This window comes from Homo sapiens, chromosome 7 (assembly GCF_000001405.40).
Source record: "Homo sapiens chromosome 7, GRCh38.p14 Primary Assembly".
Classification (NCBI taxonomy): Eukaryota; Metazoa; Chordata; class Mammalia; order Primates; family Hominidae; genus Homo; species Homo sapiens.
This window is the reverse complement of record NC_000007.14, coordinates 4,053,418-4,074,164: the sequence shown is the minus strand read 5'-3', so window position 1 is coordinate 4,074,164 and position 20,747 is coordinate 4,053,418. Positions and strand designations below refer to the sequence as shown.

The window sequence follows — 20,747 nt, the reverse complement described above, 5'->3', positions numbered from 1 at the left end:
CGTTTCGTCTGTTCTTATCAGCCTGCCCAGCTACTTAGGTCGTAAGTCAAATACCTGAAGACCCCCTGAGCTGACTAGGATTGCAGTGCATTGTGGGCTGCAACAAAATGCAACAGGACAACCCTAAAAAAACACCTACGGCCCCCTGCCCAACAACCAATAGGCGATGTCCGGGAAGACTGTGACCTCCCCCGCCCCACCCCATAGTGCTCAGCCTATGAGGAACTGGGAGAGGGGCCTGAGCACTAGGGGATAAATCGCTTGTTGTGGCCGTGCTGAGTGTGCCTGCCCACCACACACTCGATCTTGCAAGACCGGCATTAAAAGTCTCACTTTCGCTGTTCTCCGGGTCTCTGAGTCCATTCTTTGGGTTTGGACGGGTGAGTTTGTTTCTCATGGTGCACGAGACCCTGCTCTCAAAGCGCCTCCTCCTCCAGCACCTCCTCCTGATGTGTGCAAGGGAACTGAGACATCCCTGACCTTGGTGGGTCACACCTGGTCAATCGCTAAATAATTTGATCCTCGGGGTCTACTCTGAACCTATGGGAAGAGCAGACTTTGTTTAATATTACAACTTGTCTGCCAGAAAATTTTATTTGTTTAAAAGCTGTTTTTCATCAGAATTTACTGAAACACAGCGTCATGTTTGTCATGTCGACCTAGAGCTGAAACACGGCAATTCCAGCATCTTCAGGAAGAGCAGTGTTGATAGAATTTATTAGGATCAACATTGATAATATAGTGTGCTCAAATGGTTGTGGATACAAACAAAAACCAAACGGATAGCTAGAGAGGCTGATCTGCAGAGAAACGCCAGCAGAAATGGTGCAGGCCCAAGACGTGTGATGCCTGTGAGCACAGACAGAGTGGTGGGCGTGAGGTGGGAAAGACGTCCCCTAATTTATGAACAACAGCTTTTGGGGGAGGTGCGTGGAGGGCTCAGGCAGTGCTGGCCAGGGGATGCATCCTCTGCTTCCAGCTCCCAGAGGAGAGAGGAGAGAGGCGCCCGGAGCCAGGAGCGGGGGTACCTCCCGCTTGGCATCCTACCTGCTCCCAATGGCTGCCTAACTGAGACTAATGGCCAGAGGAGCTTCAGAAATAATTTTCTGTTGATCTAAAGTAAATTCTCTAGAAGAGAGCAGTGCATCCAATCACAAACTGTCTGTCTGCATCCTGGCCCTCATAAATCAGAGTTTACTGAAGGAGAGTGGAGGACGCTGAAATTTACAATGAGCGGGCAATGGGCAATTTACTCGGGCAGGCGCAGCCGCCCCCTACTCCGTGCTTCCCTCTCATTCCAGGCCTCGAATTAAAATGGAAGCTGGGGGTGCTCACCACAGACCAGGGCTAATAAACCTACGTTTCCAACAGCGCCTCTGGCCCGTAAAGTGGTGCTGAGCCCAGGCCCAAGCCGTCAGTCATCCTGGGCTCCTGCAGCTGCCTTTAATAGCAGGTGCAGCCTTTGCAGGAAGCCTGCGAGAGCATGGTGGTGCCGCACCAACACTTCCAGAAACCGGCAGCCAGGTTTGCCCACGAACACAGTTTTTCTTTTGCTCTTCTCAATGAGACACTCTGCCTTCAGCACAGAATAGAATTTCATGGTGCTGCCAGCATGTTCCACTGGAAAACTATGTCTACATGGTGGGTGCTGGGGGGAGCTCCCCTGATGCGGGCATCACTGGGGGCACAGGGTGATGCTGGGCTGGTAAGGTGATAACATCCGATCTCATCTCCTCTAGGACCTTCTCCTCCAAAGAGCTGCAGGCGTCCACTGCAGCTTCTGTGACACAAGGTGCACATTACAGTGAGCAGGAAGGGAAAACACACAGGCCACACACAGAAGGGGACAACGTGGCTGCCGAGAGGAACCTGCAGAGAGTCTGCCTGGTGCTCTCACTGCAACTTTGCTGCCCCTGACAGCACAGGCACCTCCAAACCCAGGCCTCTGGCTACACCCAGCCCAGGAAAGCTCGAGCTTCGAAGTCAAGCTCCACCATAAACAACAGACTGCTGCTTTTAACTACAGGTATTTGTTTAAATAAAACATGAAAATGAGTTCATGAAGCCCCATTAGCTGGTGAAACAGACGATCATAAATTGGAAGTATTGGCAACCACTGCTTAGCCGTGAAATGTTGGCTCAACGTGAATTATTATGCCCATGGATTTTTTTCTTTCAGCTTTAAACAGGAAAGAAGTGTGTGCTGTGTTCACAAAGGGCAGGGCAGGGGCTAACGTGTGTATCTGTAAAAAGGGAATTCCTTCTGTGTACACACATCTACCAAGGAGTCTCTGCCAGATTTCCAAAACATGGCCGACTGCAGACCTGAAAGGCGACTGGGCAGACGGTAGGCCAGAATTCTTTCTTTCCTACCCGGGCAGCCCCGTTTCTGGGATCAGTGGTAAGCAGAGCTCTAATTCCAGCCACTGAACTGGTCCCTGAAGGGTCTGAACTGGAAAGTCTTCTTCTTCCGAATGGTAGCCTCCTGCTCAGCTTTTAAAAATCCCTCCTCCCACTAGTTTGTTTTTCCTTTCTTTGAATGGTTTAAAGCAAGATTAAACTAGGTTCCTGCAGTCTATAGTGCCCTCCCCTGCTCAGTTCCCCCTGCCTTTGCTTAATTCCTTCGACTCCAGGCAACAGGAGGCCCTTTTAATTGTACACACTCAGCACTTGCGATTCTCAGATGACTTCAGAATGTGCAACAGATTGTGTCCAATTCTAGTAGTGACTTCCCCCCATTCCTGGAGTTTTCACACTATTTAAAGTGGGCACTTCAAAAGATAAGCTTCTGGAAGGCAGAGCCAGATTCATTAATTTACTTTTTTTAAAAGTTAAGGTGAGGCCAGGCGTGGTGGCTCATGCCAGTAATCCCAGCACTTTGGGAGGCCGAAGTGGGTGGATCACCTGAGGTCAGGAGTTCAAGACCAGCCTTACCAATATGGTAAAACCCTGTCTCTACTAAAAATACAAAAATTAGCTGGGTGTGGTGGCGCACACCTGTAATCCCAGCTACTTGGGAGGCTAAGGCAGGAGAATCATTTGAACCGGGAGGCGGATGTTCCAGTGAGCCAAGATCACACCACTGCACTCCAACCTGGGTGACAGAGAGACACTCCATTTCAAAAAATAAATAAACAAAAAATTAAAAACCCCACAAAGTCCAGCTATATGCTTATAAGAGGCACAGCACACTTTGGGAGGCCAAAGTGGGTGGATCACGAGGTCAGGAGATCGAGACCATCCTGGCTAACATGGTGAAACCCCCGCCTTCACTAAAAATACAAACAATTAGCCAGGCGTGGTGGCTCACGCCTGTAGTTCCAACTACTCGGGAGGCTGAGGCAGGATAATTGCTTGAACCCAGGAGGCAGAGGTTGCAGTGAGCTGAGATTGTGCCACTGTACTCCATCCTGGGCTGCAGAGTGAGACTCCATCTCAAAAAAAAAAAAAAAAATTTGAGAGGTGGCACTGGCTCCAAGGTGACCTTGTGTATGGGCTGTGGGCACACCGCTCTATCAGGGGATCTGGTTGGCACAGATGATTACAGGAGATTCTACTGATGAGTAGTGGTGGGGTTGGCACTGGGTTTGCTATGTAGCTGGAGTTCTGTGTAGAAAGAGGTCACTGTAGGAACACAGTCTCCCACTGTGCCCCAGGGCACCTGGGATGCTGCAGTGACCTCCCAGGAGCACTGCAGGGATGCACAGGACACTCAATGCCAGTGGGACACACGTGAGCCTCCAGCCCGAGGTGGCTCCATTTCCGGGTCAGAGCATGCCACGAGTCCTTGGATATATCCTGTCTTTGCAAAGCAGAGTTTTTGGTGGATGTTGTGATAAGGAAACAAGTACTGCCTGGAAACCAAAGTGAACCGGGAAATGAGGGTGACGAGGGACCATCTGGTCCCAAGGTCTGAGAAGGTGGGCAGTCCCAGGCGGGTGCAGACATCCCATTAGGAACTAACTGTGGTCACTGAAAAAAGAAATGCAAGTATTATTTCTTTCAACTACTGTGTAGTATTTTTTACATGGCAATTATAATTGTTAGCGCATATTAACACTTCCGTTGTTTGGACCTAACTACTTAATAAACAGAACCGTCAGGCATTTCTGTGGCCTCAGGGTGCTTTGAGAAATTATGGAGATGCTAAGAGGACTGTGGATGGGGAAAGTGAGCATCCCATGCTGTGGGGTTCAGAGCATGGTTCAAACCTCACCCCCACCACATCAACGCTGCAGAGGAGAGAATGCGCACATGCCCATTGGCTGTGATGGTGGGACGTCACCACCCTAAACCTCAGCCTTGTCATCGCCAGGCCTCGGTTATAAGACACCCCTTGTGTGGTTGCTGAGAAAGCAAAACGAGATCCCACAAGGCTAGGGTGACAAACACAGTGGAAGTGGCCAGGGTCATCATTGCCGCTGTCATCCAGGACGCCAGTGCGGAGAAGAAACGGCCCCCAACCCTGCAGCCTGGCAGGAGGGAGAGATCACCTGAGGCTCTTGGTCTCTGGGCAGCACAGTCCCAGCACAGGCTTCTAGGACACACCCAGAGAGCATAAGCTTGCTTCACAGAACAATCAGGCACTTGAATTCCATGGCTCCCGCAGGCAGCTGAGAACGCTGCCACCACGGAGCGGAGACGCAGCTCAGCTCCAAACTGACCGCTCGCGTCAGGACGGGCAACTCACTCAACCTTGGGGTGCGGCTGCAGAATACCCACGCAGGAGCCCCTGCCGGGACATGAGATGCCACAGGCAAAGCCCCCAGAGAGGGCTGACACAGAAGTGTCCTATATATGGCTGACAGAGAAGAAGATTAAGTGGCTTGCTAGAAATCCTTGGTAATGTTTAGAAAAAAAACAGATGTCTGTTGGAGGCTGAGTTGTTCTGGGCCAGGCAGTGGGCAGCCACTGATACAACTTCTCTCAACTCGTCCTCCTGACAGCCCCTCAGTTGTAACTGAGGATCCCAGAGGTCTGCTGAGGCTCTTAGAGTGACTAAAACAGTAGAACAGGGGGCCCTGCCCAGCCTCATCTGAGGCTAGAGCCTATGTTGCTTTTGTCAAACCAAGATTTTTTTTTTGAACTAAGATTTAAATTAAGCTTTAACCTAAAAGGTTTTTCAGAGACATTATAAAAATTTGGCCAGGCGCAGTGGCTCACGCCTGTAATCCCAGCACTTTGGGAGGCTGAGGCAGGTGGATCACTTGAGGTCAGGAGTTCGAGACCAGCCTGGCCAACATGGCAAAACCCCATTTCTACTAAAAATACAAAAATTAGCCAGGTATGGTGGCACACACCTGTAATCCCAGCTCTTCAGGAGGCTGAGGCAGGAAAACTGCTTGAACCCGGGAGGTGGAGGTTGCAGTGAGCCGAGATCACGCCACCGCACTCCAGCCTGGGCGAGAGAGCAAGACCCTGTCTCATAAATAAATAAATAAATAAATAAAATCATTAAAAACCCTAAAAAAGGTGAGCTGTCTCCCACAGAGACCCCCTCAAACCAGGAGAGGAGATCTCACTGCCCAGGGGCCTCTAAGGCTCAGCCCCCATCCCTGGTACAGCTCAGAACCTCCTCCGAAGTACCTGCCTCACAGTCTCCTCAGGGCTCTCACTGGAGGGCAGGGTGGGGAGGGGACAGAACATGGGATCTGGAGTCAGAAGACCCAGATCTCACCCTTGCGGCTCACAGCTGTGGGACGAGGGCTGAGACACAGGCACGTAAGCCTCATAGTCACACCACCTGGCTGTGTCTGAGAAGGCTGGCTGCCCACAGGAGCGCTCAGTGCCATCTGCTGAATGAAGGAAAGGTCACCCACCCTCTCGGGGCCTCAGTTTCCTCATCTGTAAAATGGTCATAATATCGATATTGACCTTACCATGCTGCTATGAGAATTAAGCAAGACACACGCATGTGAACAAATGTGTCATAACATGACTGACTCTCATTGGTCAGAGACTCTGGACACCTACTAAGATCATGCGAGGAGAACAGATCTCAAACTATGGCTGCTGCCCACACAGTAAAGGGCCCCAGACCAGGCTGGCTCTCACTGGGGCAGTCCCAGTGCTGGGACTCTGCCACACGGCCAGGAAGACTTTTCAGTTCCTCTTGAGAAGGCCATGGGCACGGGTCCATGCTGTCAGCAGTTTGGTTTGAAGTGACAGCCACTTCTTTTTGTGAGGACAAACTTATCTTTTCCTTTTTTGAAGGACAGGCCTACTTACCAGTAATGATGCCATTTTTCTCCAGGGGCTCCTGCCAGCTGACCTTGAGAGATGTGTCCAAGATCTCTGTGAAACTCAGATGTCCCACAGCTCCTGGTTCTACCAATTAAAAGCAAAGTCATCTGTTAACACAATAGCCCAAATTTTCTTTTGATCAGATGTGTGGGGAAGGTTCTAACTATGGAAGGAAAGTGGTGAGCTGGGGCTGCAAAACCCTGCAGGAGACATCAGTGGAATGCAGAAAGAAGGAGGGTGTTCAAGGCATCCTGGCTATCATCACACACATTATTTTCTCCAGCTTCATCCCAGCCACACAGGGCACTGGAGCTACTGGTGGCAGGAGATTTATACACAAACCATTCTCTGTCTTTCTCCTTGATCTAATCTGATTAGAACAATCAGGCTGGCTGGATTCTCAAGAGCAACTGCCTCCTCTGAGTGTTCCTCCATGGTGTATGCAACCCCGTGTCTGGCTTGTGTGGGGGCCATCTGTAACCTTGTGCAAACCAGAAAAGGACCCTGGGCCCAGGGGCAGGCTCACCTGCCAACCTGGTCCAGAACTCCAGGCTCCAAACCCAATCGGTATCCTGAAGGATTCCAGAGGGGCGAGGCAGTGGCCTGAGAAAATCCCAGCAAAAACAAATTCCTTTCCCAGGAGCTTCTGTGCCCTGCGGCCCCCTTGCTAACACGGGCAGGCAGAGCCGCAGAGTTACGCTTGAACGCTGGCGTCCAAGCTGGGTGTCAGACCTGGCTGAGCTACTTGCTGCCTAGGAAATTACACTCTCGACACCTTAGTCTGTTAATGTGTGAAGCAGGGAAAATAAAAATAACTCAGCGAGACAATTATAAGAATAAATTGTAATAAAACATGAAAACACGAGGATGTCCCGGGCACCATGAAAATGTTCCATGATCATCAGCCGCTGTCATGATGATGAACCTCTCATCAGAACATAAACTCATTCCTAGGATCAGAGGATGCCACCCCAGAGAAAAGACCTGAGAGTCTAAAACATGAGTTAAAAATCCAAGATGCAGGTGCAGCTCAGCAAAGCAAACTGCTTGAGGAAGGGCGGCCACAGGCGCAGAGCTCCGCCCCACATGCAGATGGACCACCTGCCTGCGACTCAGGGACAGCAGGGCCCACAGCAAGTCGCTGCTGGCCGGACAGCAGGGACATCTGGCAGTTCTGACCCACATCTCTTGCACCAGCTCACCCAGGTTTAGAGCCTTTTAGTGTTCCCATAGCAGGTCCCATCGGTCCCATCAGGGCCAGCCCACACTGTGTGGTGATGGGGAGGGAGGAGAGGATGCCTGGCTATCTGGAGGAGATAGGTGGATGTCCTGATGGTGATGTTCTCCCGGATGCCGTTACTCCCAAGCCCTGCCATGTGCCTTCCATGGTCTCTCTATAGCCATAGCTGCTGTGCAAGGCATGAGGAGCAGGTGGAAATGGAAACGCTTTTGGGGAGGCTGGCGTCTTACGAGCAAATGGAGGGAAGGATGAGGGGAAGAGAGACAGTGCACTCCCATTCCCTAAGTCAGGCACCACAGGCACCTGTGCGGTGCCTGAAAGTGCCCCTCCATCCATTGATCTCAGCAGCAAACACAAACACAGCTGCCCGGGTTGGCCCTGCTTCCCCGCCTGCCATTGAGAGCCCTACCTCCTCTCTGACAATGCCCCCATGCCTACCCCTCCAGATACCCGTTCAGGAGAAACATAGCGACAAAGCCAGGGAGGAGAAAAGGGCAGGAGGAAAGGGTAGTTCAAAGGCAGAACCGGGGAAAAGGGAGGAAAAGAATGATGGAGAAGAGACGAGACATCCGTCAGTTTCTGTATGTATCAGCTGAGTACACCCTCCACGCCAGGCAGGGAACACTGGTTCCTACTGAAAGCTCCACACCACACGACTCCCCTAGTGAACCTGCTGGATGGCGCCACATTCAAATCTTTTTAGTAATAAAAAATGCAAGTCTTTCAGCTTAAAATAGGAGAGCATGAAGTCAAGGGTGTCAGTTGTCCTGAAAGAGTATCCAGGATTCCTACAGAGAAGTCTCACCCCTGCAAAGTCCCTGTTCTGGTTACTGCCAGCCTCACTTGCACAAACATTAGATTTTTAGGGTGAATTCCATACCGAGCACTGAGTTGGTACTTGGACAAAGCCTTCTAACACAAGTCGTAATTTTTTTAAAATGGTAACAGCCTCAAAAAAAAAAAAAAAAAAAAAAAAAAAAAAAAAAACAACAACCACTCATCTGGGTGAAACTTTGAAAAGACTTTTCACAGATAAGCTCAAATGCTCTGATAAATTTCACTTTTCTAGTGTGGAAGATGGTAAAATAGAATGGCTGTCAAGACCATCTCATCCTCCCACAATTGTGAGCCTCCAGAAAGACATTCTGACAGATTTTTGCACTGACTTGTTCTTTTTTCAATCGATGGAGAAGGAAAGAAACCTTTTTGCTCCTTTTATATTATGTTTCTGCTTCCTGGATTCCTGCCCAAAGATGCTGTCCTCTAGCTCTGCTGCAATCAGCTGGCGATGTCTCAGCTTAAAATTTATATTCTGTTTCCTCTTTACTGCTACCCTCTCCCAACAACTTCTCATTTCCTCGGAGCTTTGGGAAAGAAGTCCTGCTGGGTGTGGAACTAACTACAGCACCATCAGCTAAAGAGAAAAGGAGGCCGTTTCTCCAGCACCCGAGAGTCTGAAGCTTTCTTTACTTTCTTTTTTATTGATACATAATACTTGTACACATTTCTATGGTACAGGTGACGTTTTGTTACAGGCACTGACTGTGTAACGGCCAAGTTAGGGTGTTCAGAGTGCCTATGGCCTGGAGTATTTATCATTTCTATGTGTTGTGAACATTCGAAATCCTCTTTCCTTGGTATTTTGAAATATACATCATTGTTAGCTGTAGTCACTCTACTGTGCCACGGAGCATTGGAACTTACTCCTTCTGTTTAACTGAATGTTTATGCCCATCAACTAACCTCTCTTTCTCCCCACCACCCTGCTCCACCGACACACCCCTCCCAGCCTCTAGTATCTTTCATTCTACTCTCTTATCTCCATGAGATTGGCCTTTTAAGCTACTACTTATGAGTGAGAACTTGTGATATTTGTTTTCCTGAGGGCATTGATGTAATGCCCTCCAGTTCCCTGCATGTTGCTGCAAATGACAGGATTTCATTCTTTCTTGTGGCTGAATAGTATTCCACTATGTATATACACCACATTTTCTTATCCGTTGGTCTACTGATGGACGCTTGGGTTGATTCCGTATCTTGGCTACTGTGAATGGTGCTGCAGTAAGCATGGGGTATGGGTATCCTTTGATGCACTGACTCCTTTCCTATGGATAAATACCCAATAGTGGGATTGCTGGCTCATAGGGTAGTTCTATTTTTAGTTTTTTGAAAACTTATACTGTTTTCCATTGTGGCTGTACTAATTTACATCATCACCAACAGTGTATTAGAGTTCCCTGTTCTCCACATGATTGTCAGCATTTTTTATGTCTTTTTAATTCTAGTGATTCTGACTGGGATAAAATGGTACCTCATTGAGGTTTTGATTAGCATTTCCTTGATGATTAGTGATACTGGGCATTTTTTCATAGACACGTTGACCATCTGTATGTCTGCTTTTGACAAGGGTTTATTCATGTCCCTTGCCCACTTTTTAAATGAGATTTTTTAAACTGTTGAGCTGAGTTCTTTGTATATTTTAGATATTAATCCCTTACCAGATGAATAGTTTGCAAATATTTTCTCCCATTCAACAGGCTGTCTCTTCACTCTGTTTACCATTTCCTTTGCTGTACAGAAGTTTTTAAGTTTGATATAGTCCCATTTGTCTATTTTTGGTTTTGTTGCCTGTGCTTTTGAGATCTTAGCCATAAAATCTTTGCCTACACTAATGTCCTGAAGTGTTTCCCCTGTGTTTTATTTTAGTAGTTTTATAATTTCAAGTGTTACATTTAAGTCTTTAATCCATCTTGAGTTATTTTTTAATTTCGATCTTCTGCATATGGATATCCAATTTTCCTAGCACCAAAATTATTGAAGGTATCCTGCCACCTTTATCGAAAATCAGTTGGTTGTAAATATATGGATATGTTTCTGGGTGCTCTATTCTGTTCCATTGGTCTATGTGTCTGTTGTTAACGCCAATACCATGCCATGGTTTTGGTTATTATAGACTTGTCATATATTTCAAAGATAGGTAGTGTGATTCCTCCAGTTTCGTTATTTTTGCTATGGATTGCTTTGGCTATTTGGGCTCTTTTTGGGTTCCACAAGAATTTACGGGGTTTTTTGTTTTTTTTTTTTGCTATTTCTGTGAAAATGACACTGGTATTTTGATAGAGATTGCATTGAGTCATTAGATTCATTTGGGGAGTATGGTCATTTTAATAATGCTAATTCTTCTGATCCATGAGCATGGGATGTCTTTCTATTTACTTGTGTCTTCTTCAGTTTCTTAGTTCCTTTCATCAATGTTTTGTATTTTTCTTTGTAGAGATCTTTCACCTCCTTGGTTAAATTAATTCCTAGATATGTTTTTCTTTTATAGCTATTGTAAATGGAATCAACTTCTTGATTTATTTCTCAGCTAGTTCATTATTGGTTTATAGAAATGCTACTGATTTTTGTGTGTTGCTATTGTATCCTGCAACCTCACCAAATTTATTTATCAGATATAGGAGTTTTTTGGTGGAGTCTAGGTTTGTTTAGACACAAGATCATGTCATCTGCAAAGAGAACAATCTGACTTCCTCTTTTCCAATTTAGATGCCTTTTATTCCTTTCTTTTGCCTGACTGCTGTGGCTAGGACTTCCAGTACTACAAATAGGTGTGATGAAAGTGGGCATCTTTGTCTTGTTCCAGTTATCAGAGGAAAGGATTTCAGCTTTTCCCCATTCAGTGTGATGTTAGCTGTGGGTTTTTCATATACAGACTTTATCATACTGAGGTATGTTTCTACTATGCCTAGTTTGTTGAGAGTTTTTATTATAAAGGGATGTTAAATTTTATTAAATGCTTTTTATGCATCTGTTGAGATGATCACATGGTTTTTGTCTTTTATTATGTTGGAGTGATGTATCACATTTATGGATATGTATATGTTGAACCATCCTTGCATCCCTGGGATAAATCTCACATGAGCATGGTGTATTATATTTCTGACGTGCTGTTGGATTCAGTTTGCTAATATTTTTGTTGAGGATTTTTGTGTCTATGTTCATCAGGGATAATGGACTGTAGTTTTTTGTTGTTATGTCCTTGTCTGGTTTTGGTATCTGGGTAACACTGACCTCATAAAATGAGTTAGAAAGAATTTCCTCTTCTTTAATTTTTTGGAATAGTTTGAGGAGAATTGGTTTTAGTTCTTCCTTGAAAGTATGGTAGAATTTGTCAGTGAAACCACTTGGCCCTGGGTTTTTCTTTGTTGGGAGAGTTATTACTGACTCAATCTCATTACCCATTATTAGTCTGTTCAGATTTTATGTTTCTTTCTGATTCAATCTTGGTAGGTTGTATGTGTTCAGGAATTTATCCATTTCTCCTAGGTTTTCCAATTTGTTAGTGTATAGTTGTTAGTAAGAGTCTCAAATGATATTTTGTATTTCTGTGGTATCAGTTATAATGTCTCCTTTTGCATTTCTGATTTTGTTTCCTTAAGTAATCTGTCTTTTATTCTTCTTAAGTCTAGCTAGCAGTTTATTGATTTTGTGTATCTTCCCTAAAACTGAGTTTTGTTTAACCATTTGTATTGTTTTTATTATTATTATTATTATACTTTAAGTTTTAGGGTACATGTGCACAATGTGCAGGTTAGTTACATATGTATACATGTGCCATGCTGGTGTGCTGCACCCATTAACTCGTCATTTAGCATTAGGTATATCTCCTAGTGCTATCCCTCCCCCCTCCCCCCACCCCACAACAGTCCCCAGAGTGTGATGTTCCCCTTCCTGTGTCCATGTGTTCTCACTGTTCAATTCCCACCTATGAGTGAGAATATGCCGTGTTTGGTTTTTTGTTCTTGCGATAGTTTACTGAGAATGATGATTTCCAATTTCATCCATGTCCCTACAAAGGACATGAATTCATCATTTTTTATGGCTGCATAGTATTCCATGGTGTATATGTGCCACATTTTCTTAATCCAGTCTATCATTGTTGGACATTTGGATTGGTTCAAAGTCTTTGCTATTGTGAATAGTGCAGCAATAAACATACGTGTGCATATGTCTTTATAGCAGCATGATTTATAGTCATTTGGGTATATACCCAGTAATGGGATGGCTGGGTCAAATGGTATTTCTAGTCCTAGATCCCTGAGGAATCGCCACACTGACTTCCACAATGGTTGAACTAGTTTACAGTCCCACCAACAATGTAAAAGTGTTCCTATTTCTCCACATCCTCTCCAGCACCTGTTGTTTCCTGACTTTTTAATGATTGCCATTCTAACTGGTGTGAGATGGTATCTCATTGTGGTTTTGATTTGCATTTCTCTGATGGCCAGTGATGGTGAGCATTTTTTCATGTGTTTTCAAGGGACGTGAAGGACCTCTTCAAGGAGAACTACAAACCACTGCTCAATGAAATAAAAGAGGATACAAACAAATGGAAGAACATTCCATGCTCATGGGTAGGAAGAATCAATATCGTGAAAATGGCCATACTGCCCAAGGTAATTTATAGATTCAATGCCATCCCCATCAAGCTACCAATGACTTTCTTCACAGAATTGGAAAAAACTACTTTAAAGTTCATATGGAACCAAAAAAGAGCCCACATTGCCAAGTCAATCCTAAGCCAAAAGAACAAAGCTGGAAGCATCACGCTACCTGACTTCAAACTATACTACAAGGCTCCAGTATCCAAAACAGCATGGTACTGGTACCAAAACAGAGATATAGATCAACGGAACAGAACAGAGCCCTCTGAAATAACACCACATATCTACAACTATCTGATCTTTGACAAACCTGAGAAAAACAAGCAATGGGTAAAGGATTCCCTATTTAATAAATGGTGCTGGGAAAACTGGCTAGCCATATGTAGAAAGCTGAAACTGGATCCCCTCCTTACACCTTATACAAAAATCAATTCAAGATGGATTAAAGACCTAAACGTTAGACCTAAAACCATAAAAACCCTAGAAGAAAACCTAGGCATTACCATTCCGGACATAGGCATGGGCAAGGACTTCATGTCTAAAACACCAAAAGCAATGGCAACAAAAGCCAAAATTGACAAATGGGATCTAATTAAACTAAAGAGCTTCTGCACAGCAAAAGAAACTACCATCAGAGTGAACAGGCAACCTACACAATGGGAGAAAATTTTTGCAACCTACTCATCTGACAAAGGGCTAATATCCAGAATCTACAATGAACTCAAACAAATTTACAAGAAAAAAACAAACAACCCCATCAAAAAGTGGGCAAAGGACATGAACAGACACTTCTCAAAAGAAGACATTTATGCAGCCAAAAAACACATGTATTGTTTTTAAGTCTTTGTTTCATTAGGTCTGCTCTGATCTTTATTATATCTTTCCTTCTACTAATTTTGGGTTTGGTTTGTCCTTGAGGTGTATCACTAGATTGTTTGAAATCTTTCTACTTTTTTCTGATGTAGGCATTTATTGTAGGCTCTTAGCATCGCTTTTGCTGTATCCTGTAGGTTTCTGTATGTCGTATTTCAATTTTCATTTGTTTCAAGAAATTTCTGGCCGGGCGTGGTGGCTCACGCCTGTAATCCCAGCACTTTGGAAGGCCGAGGCGGGCGGATCACGAGGTCAGGAGATCGAGACCATCCTGGCTAACATGGTGAAACCCCGTCTCTACTAAAAAATACAAAAAAGTTAGCTAGGTGTGGTGGTGGGCGCCTGTAATCCCAGCTACTGAGGAGGCTGAAGCAGGACAATGGCGTGAACCTGGGAGGCGGAGCTTGCAGTGAGCCGAGACTGCGCCACTGCACTCCAGCCTGGGCGACAGAGCAAGACTCCGTCTCAAAAAAAAAAAAAAAAGAAATTTTTAAATTTCCTCCTTAATTTCTTCCTTGACCCAAAGGTCATTCAGGAGCATGCTATTTAATTTCCATGTATTTGTACAGATTCCAAAGTTCCTCATTACTGATTTCCAGTTTTATTCCATTGTGGTCTAAGAAGATATCGATCGAATTTTAGTCTTTTAAAAGTTGTTGAGATTTGCTTTGTGTCCTAACATAGGGTCTGTCTTGGAGAATGTTACATGTACTGATGAAAAGAATGTGCATTCTGTAGCTATTAGATGAAATGTTCTGTAAATGTCTGTTAGGTCCATTTAGTCTAAAGCGCAGTTTAAATCCAATGTTTCTTTGTTATTTTTCTGTCAAGATGACCTGTCTAATGCTGAGAGGGGGATGTTAAAGTCCCCAAGTATTATTGTATTGCTGTCTCTCCCTGTAGATCTAATAATATTTGCTTTATATATCTGAGTGCTCCAGTGTTTGGTCTATATATGTTTAGAATTGTTATATCCTCTTGTTGAATTCATAACTTTATCATTACACAATAACCTTCTTTGTCTCTTTTTACTGTTTTTTACTTAAAGTATTTTATCTAAGCGTACCTACTCCTGTTCACTTTTGCTTTCTGTTTGCACAAAATCTCTTTTTCCATCTCTTTACTTTCAGTCTACATGTGTCTTTACAAGTGAGCTGAGTTTCTTGTACACAGCCTATAGTTGGGTCATGGTTTGTTTTTGTTTTTGTTTTTGTTTTTATCCATTCAGCCAGTCTATCCTTTTGGATACTTTAATCTATTTAAATTCAAGGTTACTATTGATATGTCAGGGCTTATTCTAGTAATTATTAATTGATTTCTGGTTGGTTTATATATCCTTTGTTCCCTTCTTTCTCTCTCATTGTTTATTTTTGAGGTTTGGTGGTTTTCTGTAGTGGTAACATTTGGGTCCTTTCTCTTCCTTATTTGTGTGTTTGCTCTACCAATGGGTTTTATACGTTTGTACATTTTCATGATGGTAGATATTGTTCTTTCACTTCAGGTGTGGGAATTCATTAAGCATTTCTTGTAGGGCCAGTCCAGTGGAGATGAATTCCCTCAGCTTTTACTTATCTAGGAAATACTTTATTTCTCTTTCATTTGTGAAGGGTAACTTTTATGCATATAGTACTCTTGGCTAACAAGTTATTTTTTTCCCCAGTACTTTGAATATATCATCCCATTTTTCTCTTGGCATGTAAGGTTTCTGCTGATAAATCCACTGTTAGTCTGATGGGGGTTCTCTTATAAGTGAGTAGATGCTTTTCTTTTGGTGTTTTTGGAATTCTGTCTTCAACTTTTGATAATTTGACTACAATGTGCCATGGAGAAGACCTTTCTGAATAGTATCTATTTATTTGTGGATCTCTGAGCCTCCCATATCTGGATGTCTAAATCTCTTGCTAGACTTGGGTTTCAGCCATTATTTTGTTAAATCAGGTTTGTATCCCTTTGGTTTTCTTTTCACCTTCTGGGACATCAAAAATTCAAATACTCATTCCTTTATGGTGACTCATATATCACATAGTCTTTATTCAACTTTAAATTCTGAAATTCCTTCTGCTGTCTCATCTAGTCTACTGCCGAAGCTTACTATTGTATTTTTAAATTTCAGTCAATGAATTAATTAGTTCCTGGATATCTGTTTGGTTCTTTTTTATAATATTTATCTCTTTGGTAAATTTCTCATTCATGTATTGAAATGTTTTTTGGATTATTTTGTATTATTTATCTGTGTCTCTTTTATCTGACTTTCCTTAATATCATTATTTTTTATTTTTTTTCTGGGATTTCATAATTTCTTTTTCATTGGAATCTGTTGCTAGAGAATTACCATGTTCCTTTGGAAGTGTTATACTTCCTTGCATTTTCATATTTCTTGTGTCCTTATGTTGATATCTGCACATCTGGTGTAACAGTTGCTTCTTCTAATTTTTTGGATTTGCTTTCATAAAGGAGGGCTTTTTCCTGAAGATGTATCTATGGTGTTGATTGGATAGGGTACTTTGGCTTTGATTCTGGATGAAGCAGTAGTGTAGTCTCCATATAATTTATTTGGCTGTAAACAGCATCAGTGGTGTCTGTGATTTCCTCAGCGGCTTAGGGTGTGGTTGTTAGTAGAGGCTGTGGTAAAGTTTTGCTGGGGACAGGGACACCAGGTGGGCCAATCCTTGGGCCCCAGTGGTGGCAGCAGTGGGCTGAGTGTGCCTGTCCTTACATCCCAGAGTGATCCAGACAGGCTCATTCTTGGCATTCTAGGTGGGTTGCTCAGGTGCTGGCAATGGCTGCAGGGGGCCAAGCAGGTGGGTGGGTTCTCAAGGCCCTGGACAGCAGGCATGCTATAGGCAGTGACAGTAGCAGTGGTGGGACAATCCCCTGGCTCCTTAGCAGTCTGCACTGGTATTGCTGGTGGCTGTGACAGGCTGAGCAGGCCAGTCCCCAGGCCCAGGGGTGGTGTGTAGGAATGGGTGCCAGCTGTGATGGTGCAGCAGGTTGGGTGGGCCCGACTTCAGGTCCCCAGGAGAAGTACTCAGGTGCTCATAGTGGTGGACAGGGCAGGGTGAGCCCAGGGCCCTGGATAGTGTTGCTCATACTGGGGGAGGCTGAGCAAGCCAAGCAGGCCTGTCCTCAGGACCCCTGGTGGTGTGTGCAGTTGCTAGCTGTGGTCAGCTGGGGTGGGGTGACCCCCAGGTTCCTGGCAGAACACTTGGTAGGGCTGGCAATGGCTGCACTGCGGCCCTGCTGCTGGGGAGGTGTGCTTCAGACCCAGGTGGCAACTGTGGGTGGGAGAGTCTGACCTCAGGGTGCCTGGAAGCGAAGTCTGTCCTCAAGATGAGTGAAAATGCCCAGCAGCCCCACCACTGGGGGTCACTGCCAATGGTTTGTGCTTTGCCTCTGGTGGCAGCAGCCAGCAGTGGTGGTGGTTGTGGGCAGGGGATGTCAGTGGGGCTGCAGAATATGGAGATGCAGAGGCTGTCGGGAGCCGGGGCGGAATGGTCTGTCGGGACCCGGAGCAGAATGGTCTGTCGGGACCCGGGGCGGAATGGTCTGGTGGGACCCACGGCGGAATGTTCTGGTGGGGCTGGGCTCTTTGAGCAGCACTGCATAGTAGCTGCTCTGGGCTCGGGCGTGTGGGGTGCAGCGTGGGCTCCCTCTCTGGAGCAGGACATCACACGGTCTCCCTGTGAGAGTCTCCCTACGTGAGTCTTGGGCCTGTGAGTTTTGAGGGGCTTTCCTGTGGCTCGGATTGCAGGAGTCTGTGGTGGGAATGTGGACCACGGGGGTCTCTCCCTTTCCCTTTTCCCACAGTGGGGAACCTGTCTGGGTTCCCAGCCGATCTCAGTCCCGGAGGAGCTGCTGCACTTCACTTTCCTCCTTGCCATAGGTGCTTCCTGTCACTTCTCTATTGAATTCCAGCTTCTCTCTTGGATCTATTTGAAGTGTGGTTACCTACTTGCTGTTCTTGTTCTTCTTTATGAAGGAGGCCAGTACCAGGTGACTGTGGTCAGCTGGCCCCTGAAGCCCCTCTCATTCAGGCTCCAAACTTTCCTTTTAAAAGCTACACCCCCCAGAGGTGACTTCAACCCTACCTTCAGTCTTTTAATGTGATATTTGACATTTACAAAGATGTGTTATTATCCTAAATAGGATAAACAGGCTCCCTGCCTACCAAAAAATGATTCAGTTAGAAAATTCTAAAAAAAAAAAAAAAATTGAGATTATTTCCAGTTTTCTCTGAGACATAAAATTTACAATTGAAAAGGAGAAATAGACATTTTTAAAAAATCATTCATTGAACATTCACCAAGATTGACCATATCCTAGGCCATTAAACAAACTTCAACAAATATAAAATAACTAAAATTATATGAAGTGTGTTCTCTGATCATAATGGAATCAAATCAGATTATCAATAGCAGAAAGACAATAGAATCTCCAAACACATGGAAAATGAACAGCACACTTCCAATTAATTCATGGGTCACAGAGAGTATCTCAAAGGAAATAAAAATACAGAGAACTGGATGAAAATGAAAGCATAGAGTGTCAAAACATCTGGGATGCAGCTAAAGCATCATGGAAGCAGAAATGTACAGCACTAAACGCTCACACTGGAAACAAGGAAAGGTCTTCAACCAATAACCAACATGGCTACCTCAAGAAAGCAGAAAAGGGAGAGCAAAATACACTCAAAGCAAGCAGAGGAAGGAAATTATAAAGAGCAGAAATCAATAAAGTTGAAAATGAAGGAGACCATGAAGAAGAGGAGACCTGGAACAAGAGGCTGGTTCTAAAAAAACAAAAAACAAAAACAACAACAACAACAACAACAAAAACAAACCAAAAAAATCAAGCAATAAAATTGAAGAACCTCCAGGAAGAATGACAACATTAAAAAGCCAGAAGAAACCAATCATCAATATCAGGAATAAAAAACAGGACATCACTACAGATCCTGCAACCAATAAGAAGGTGGTGCTGCTAACATTTTCATACTCACAAATCTGAACTCTTAGAGGATCAACTCCTTGAAAACCAACAACTCCCAAAACTCAGCCAAGATGAAACAGACAACCTGGATAGTCCTAAAACCATTTATAAATTGCATTTATATTAAAAATATTCCTAGAAAGAATTCTTCAGTCCCTGAGAGTTTCACTGGAAAATTCTACCAAACATTTAAAGAGAAAATGACACCAATTTTACGCAATCTCTTCCAGAACATAGAAGTGGGAATACTTCTAAACATATTTCATGGGACCATATTACTCTGATACCAACACCAGACAAAGATAACACACAAAAAAAGACAACTACAGATTAATATCTCTCATGAACTTACATGCAAAAGTCCTTCGCCAAGTGCTAGCAAAGTCAATCCAACAGCATATGAAAAGAATTATACACTGTGACCAAGTTGAATTTAAGTACACAAAGCTGGTTTGACATTTGCAAATCAGTCAATGTAATCTAACAGACCAACAAGCTAAGAAGAAAAACCAGATGATCATGTCAAATGATGCAGTAAGAGCACGTGAAAAAAAGTAAGATTTATTCATGTCAAAAACTCAGAACCAATTAGCAATAGTGAGGAATAACTTCAACTTGATTAAAAAAAAAAATCCTTAACAGTGAACGACTGAATGTTTTGCCTCTCAGGTGAGAAGCAGGCAAGGATGTCTGGTCTCATCACTCTTATTCAGCATAGTACTAGAAATCCTAGACACTGCAAATCATGCAAGAAAAGGAAATGAAAGGCATACAGGTTAGAAAGGAAGAGCTGGAGGAAGGTGGGTGTGGCTATAAAGGAACCCAGATGATTTTTGTGGCCTTAGAAACATTCAAGATCTTGATTATCGTGGTAGATACACAAACCTACACATGTGTCAAACTGTACAGGACTAAACACACACATATGCACAAAAGAGAAAAAAACAAAACTGGAGAAACCCAAATCGGATCTGTGAATTGTATCATCAGTGTCAATATCCTGGACGTGATGCAATACTATAGTTTCGCAAATGTCAGCTTGGCAGAAACTGGGCTAAATGTACACGGTCTCAATATTATTTCATATAATTGCATATGAATCTGTAATGCTCTCAATAAAAATTTCAGTTAACCTTGGTGAGTGTGGTGGCTTATGCCTGTAATCCCAGCACTTTGGGAGGCTGAGGTGTGCGGATCACCTGAGGTCAGGAGTTTGAGAGCAGCCTGGCCAACATGGTGAAACCCCATCTCTATTAAAAATACAAAAAAATTGGCCAGACGTGGTGGCCGGTGCCTGTAATACCAGCTACTTGAGAGGCCAAGGCAGGAGAATTGCTTGAACCCTGGAGGCAGAGGTTGCAGTGAGCCAAGATTGCACCACTGCACTCCAGCCTGGGCAACAGAGCAAGATTCTGTCTCAAAACAACAACAACAACAAAAAAAACCACCACCACCACCAACAACAACAAAAAACCCAAAAAACAAAAAAAGCCAAAATCAGTTAAACAAAAGCAGAAAGCAGAGCAAAGGCAGAGTATGGGAAGAACTTCTGGGATCAATTCACAGCAGCAGCAGGGCTACTTTTCATTTCATCTTTTTTGTGAGGAGGGATTGATTGTTGGTCTCAGAGGGTCAAGAAATCCATGTTCTATTCCTCCCCTGTCACTCATTTGACATAGACCTTGAGTCAATGGCGAGATTGTTCCAGGAGAGTGGCAAGGAGAAAGCTAGGCTGCCAAGGGTCAAGGAGAACATAAGGCGTTCAAGGTCAAAGCAATGGTTAGACTAAAAGGGAGTGGGGAGCCATCCCGGCAGCTCCAGGGGCAGCACAGTCAGGGAGCTGCCGATTTTGAGTGAGGGAGACCTGAACATATTTGTGGGAGGAGGGAAAGGATCCAATAGTAAAAAGATTGGAAGAAGTAATAGCGCCATGAAGACAGAGAGGGGAAGAAGGGAAC

The 20,747-nt window shown here is 44.3% G+C and overlaps 1 protein-coding gene across 5 annotated transcripts in view; it reads right to left on the bottom strand.

Moving 5' to 3' along the window:
• The window catches only part of SDK1 (sidekick cell adhesion molecule 1), a 967,749-nt gene that overhangs the window by 194,836 nt on the left and 752,166 nt on the right, over positions 1–20,747 (bottom strand). For all 5 annotated transcript variants that reach the window (NM_152744.4, XM_047420038.1, XM_047420037.1 and 2 more), the window contains one exon: positions 6,229–6,327. In NM_152744.4, the coding sequence (NP_689957.3) occupies positions 6,229–6,327 (99 nt within the window). The remainder of the gene's footprint in view (positions 1–6,228; positions 6,328–20,747) is intronic.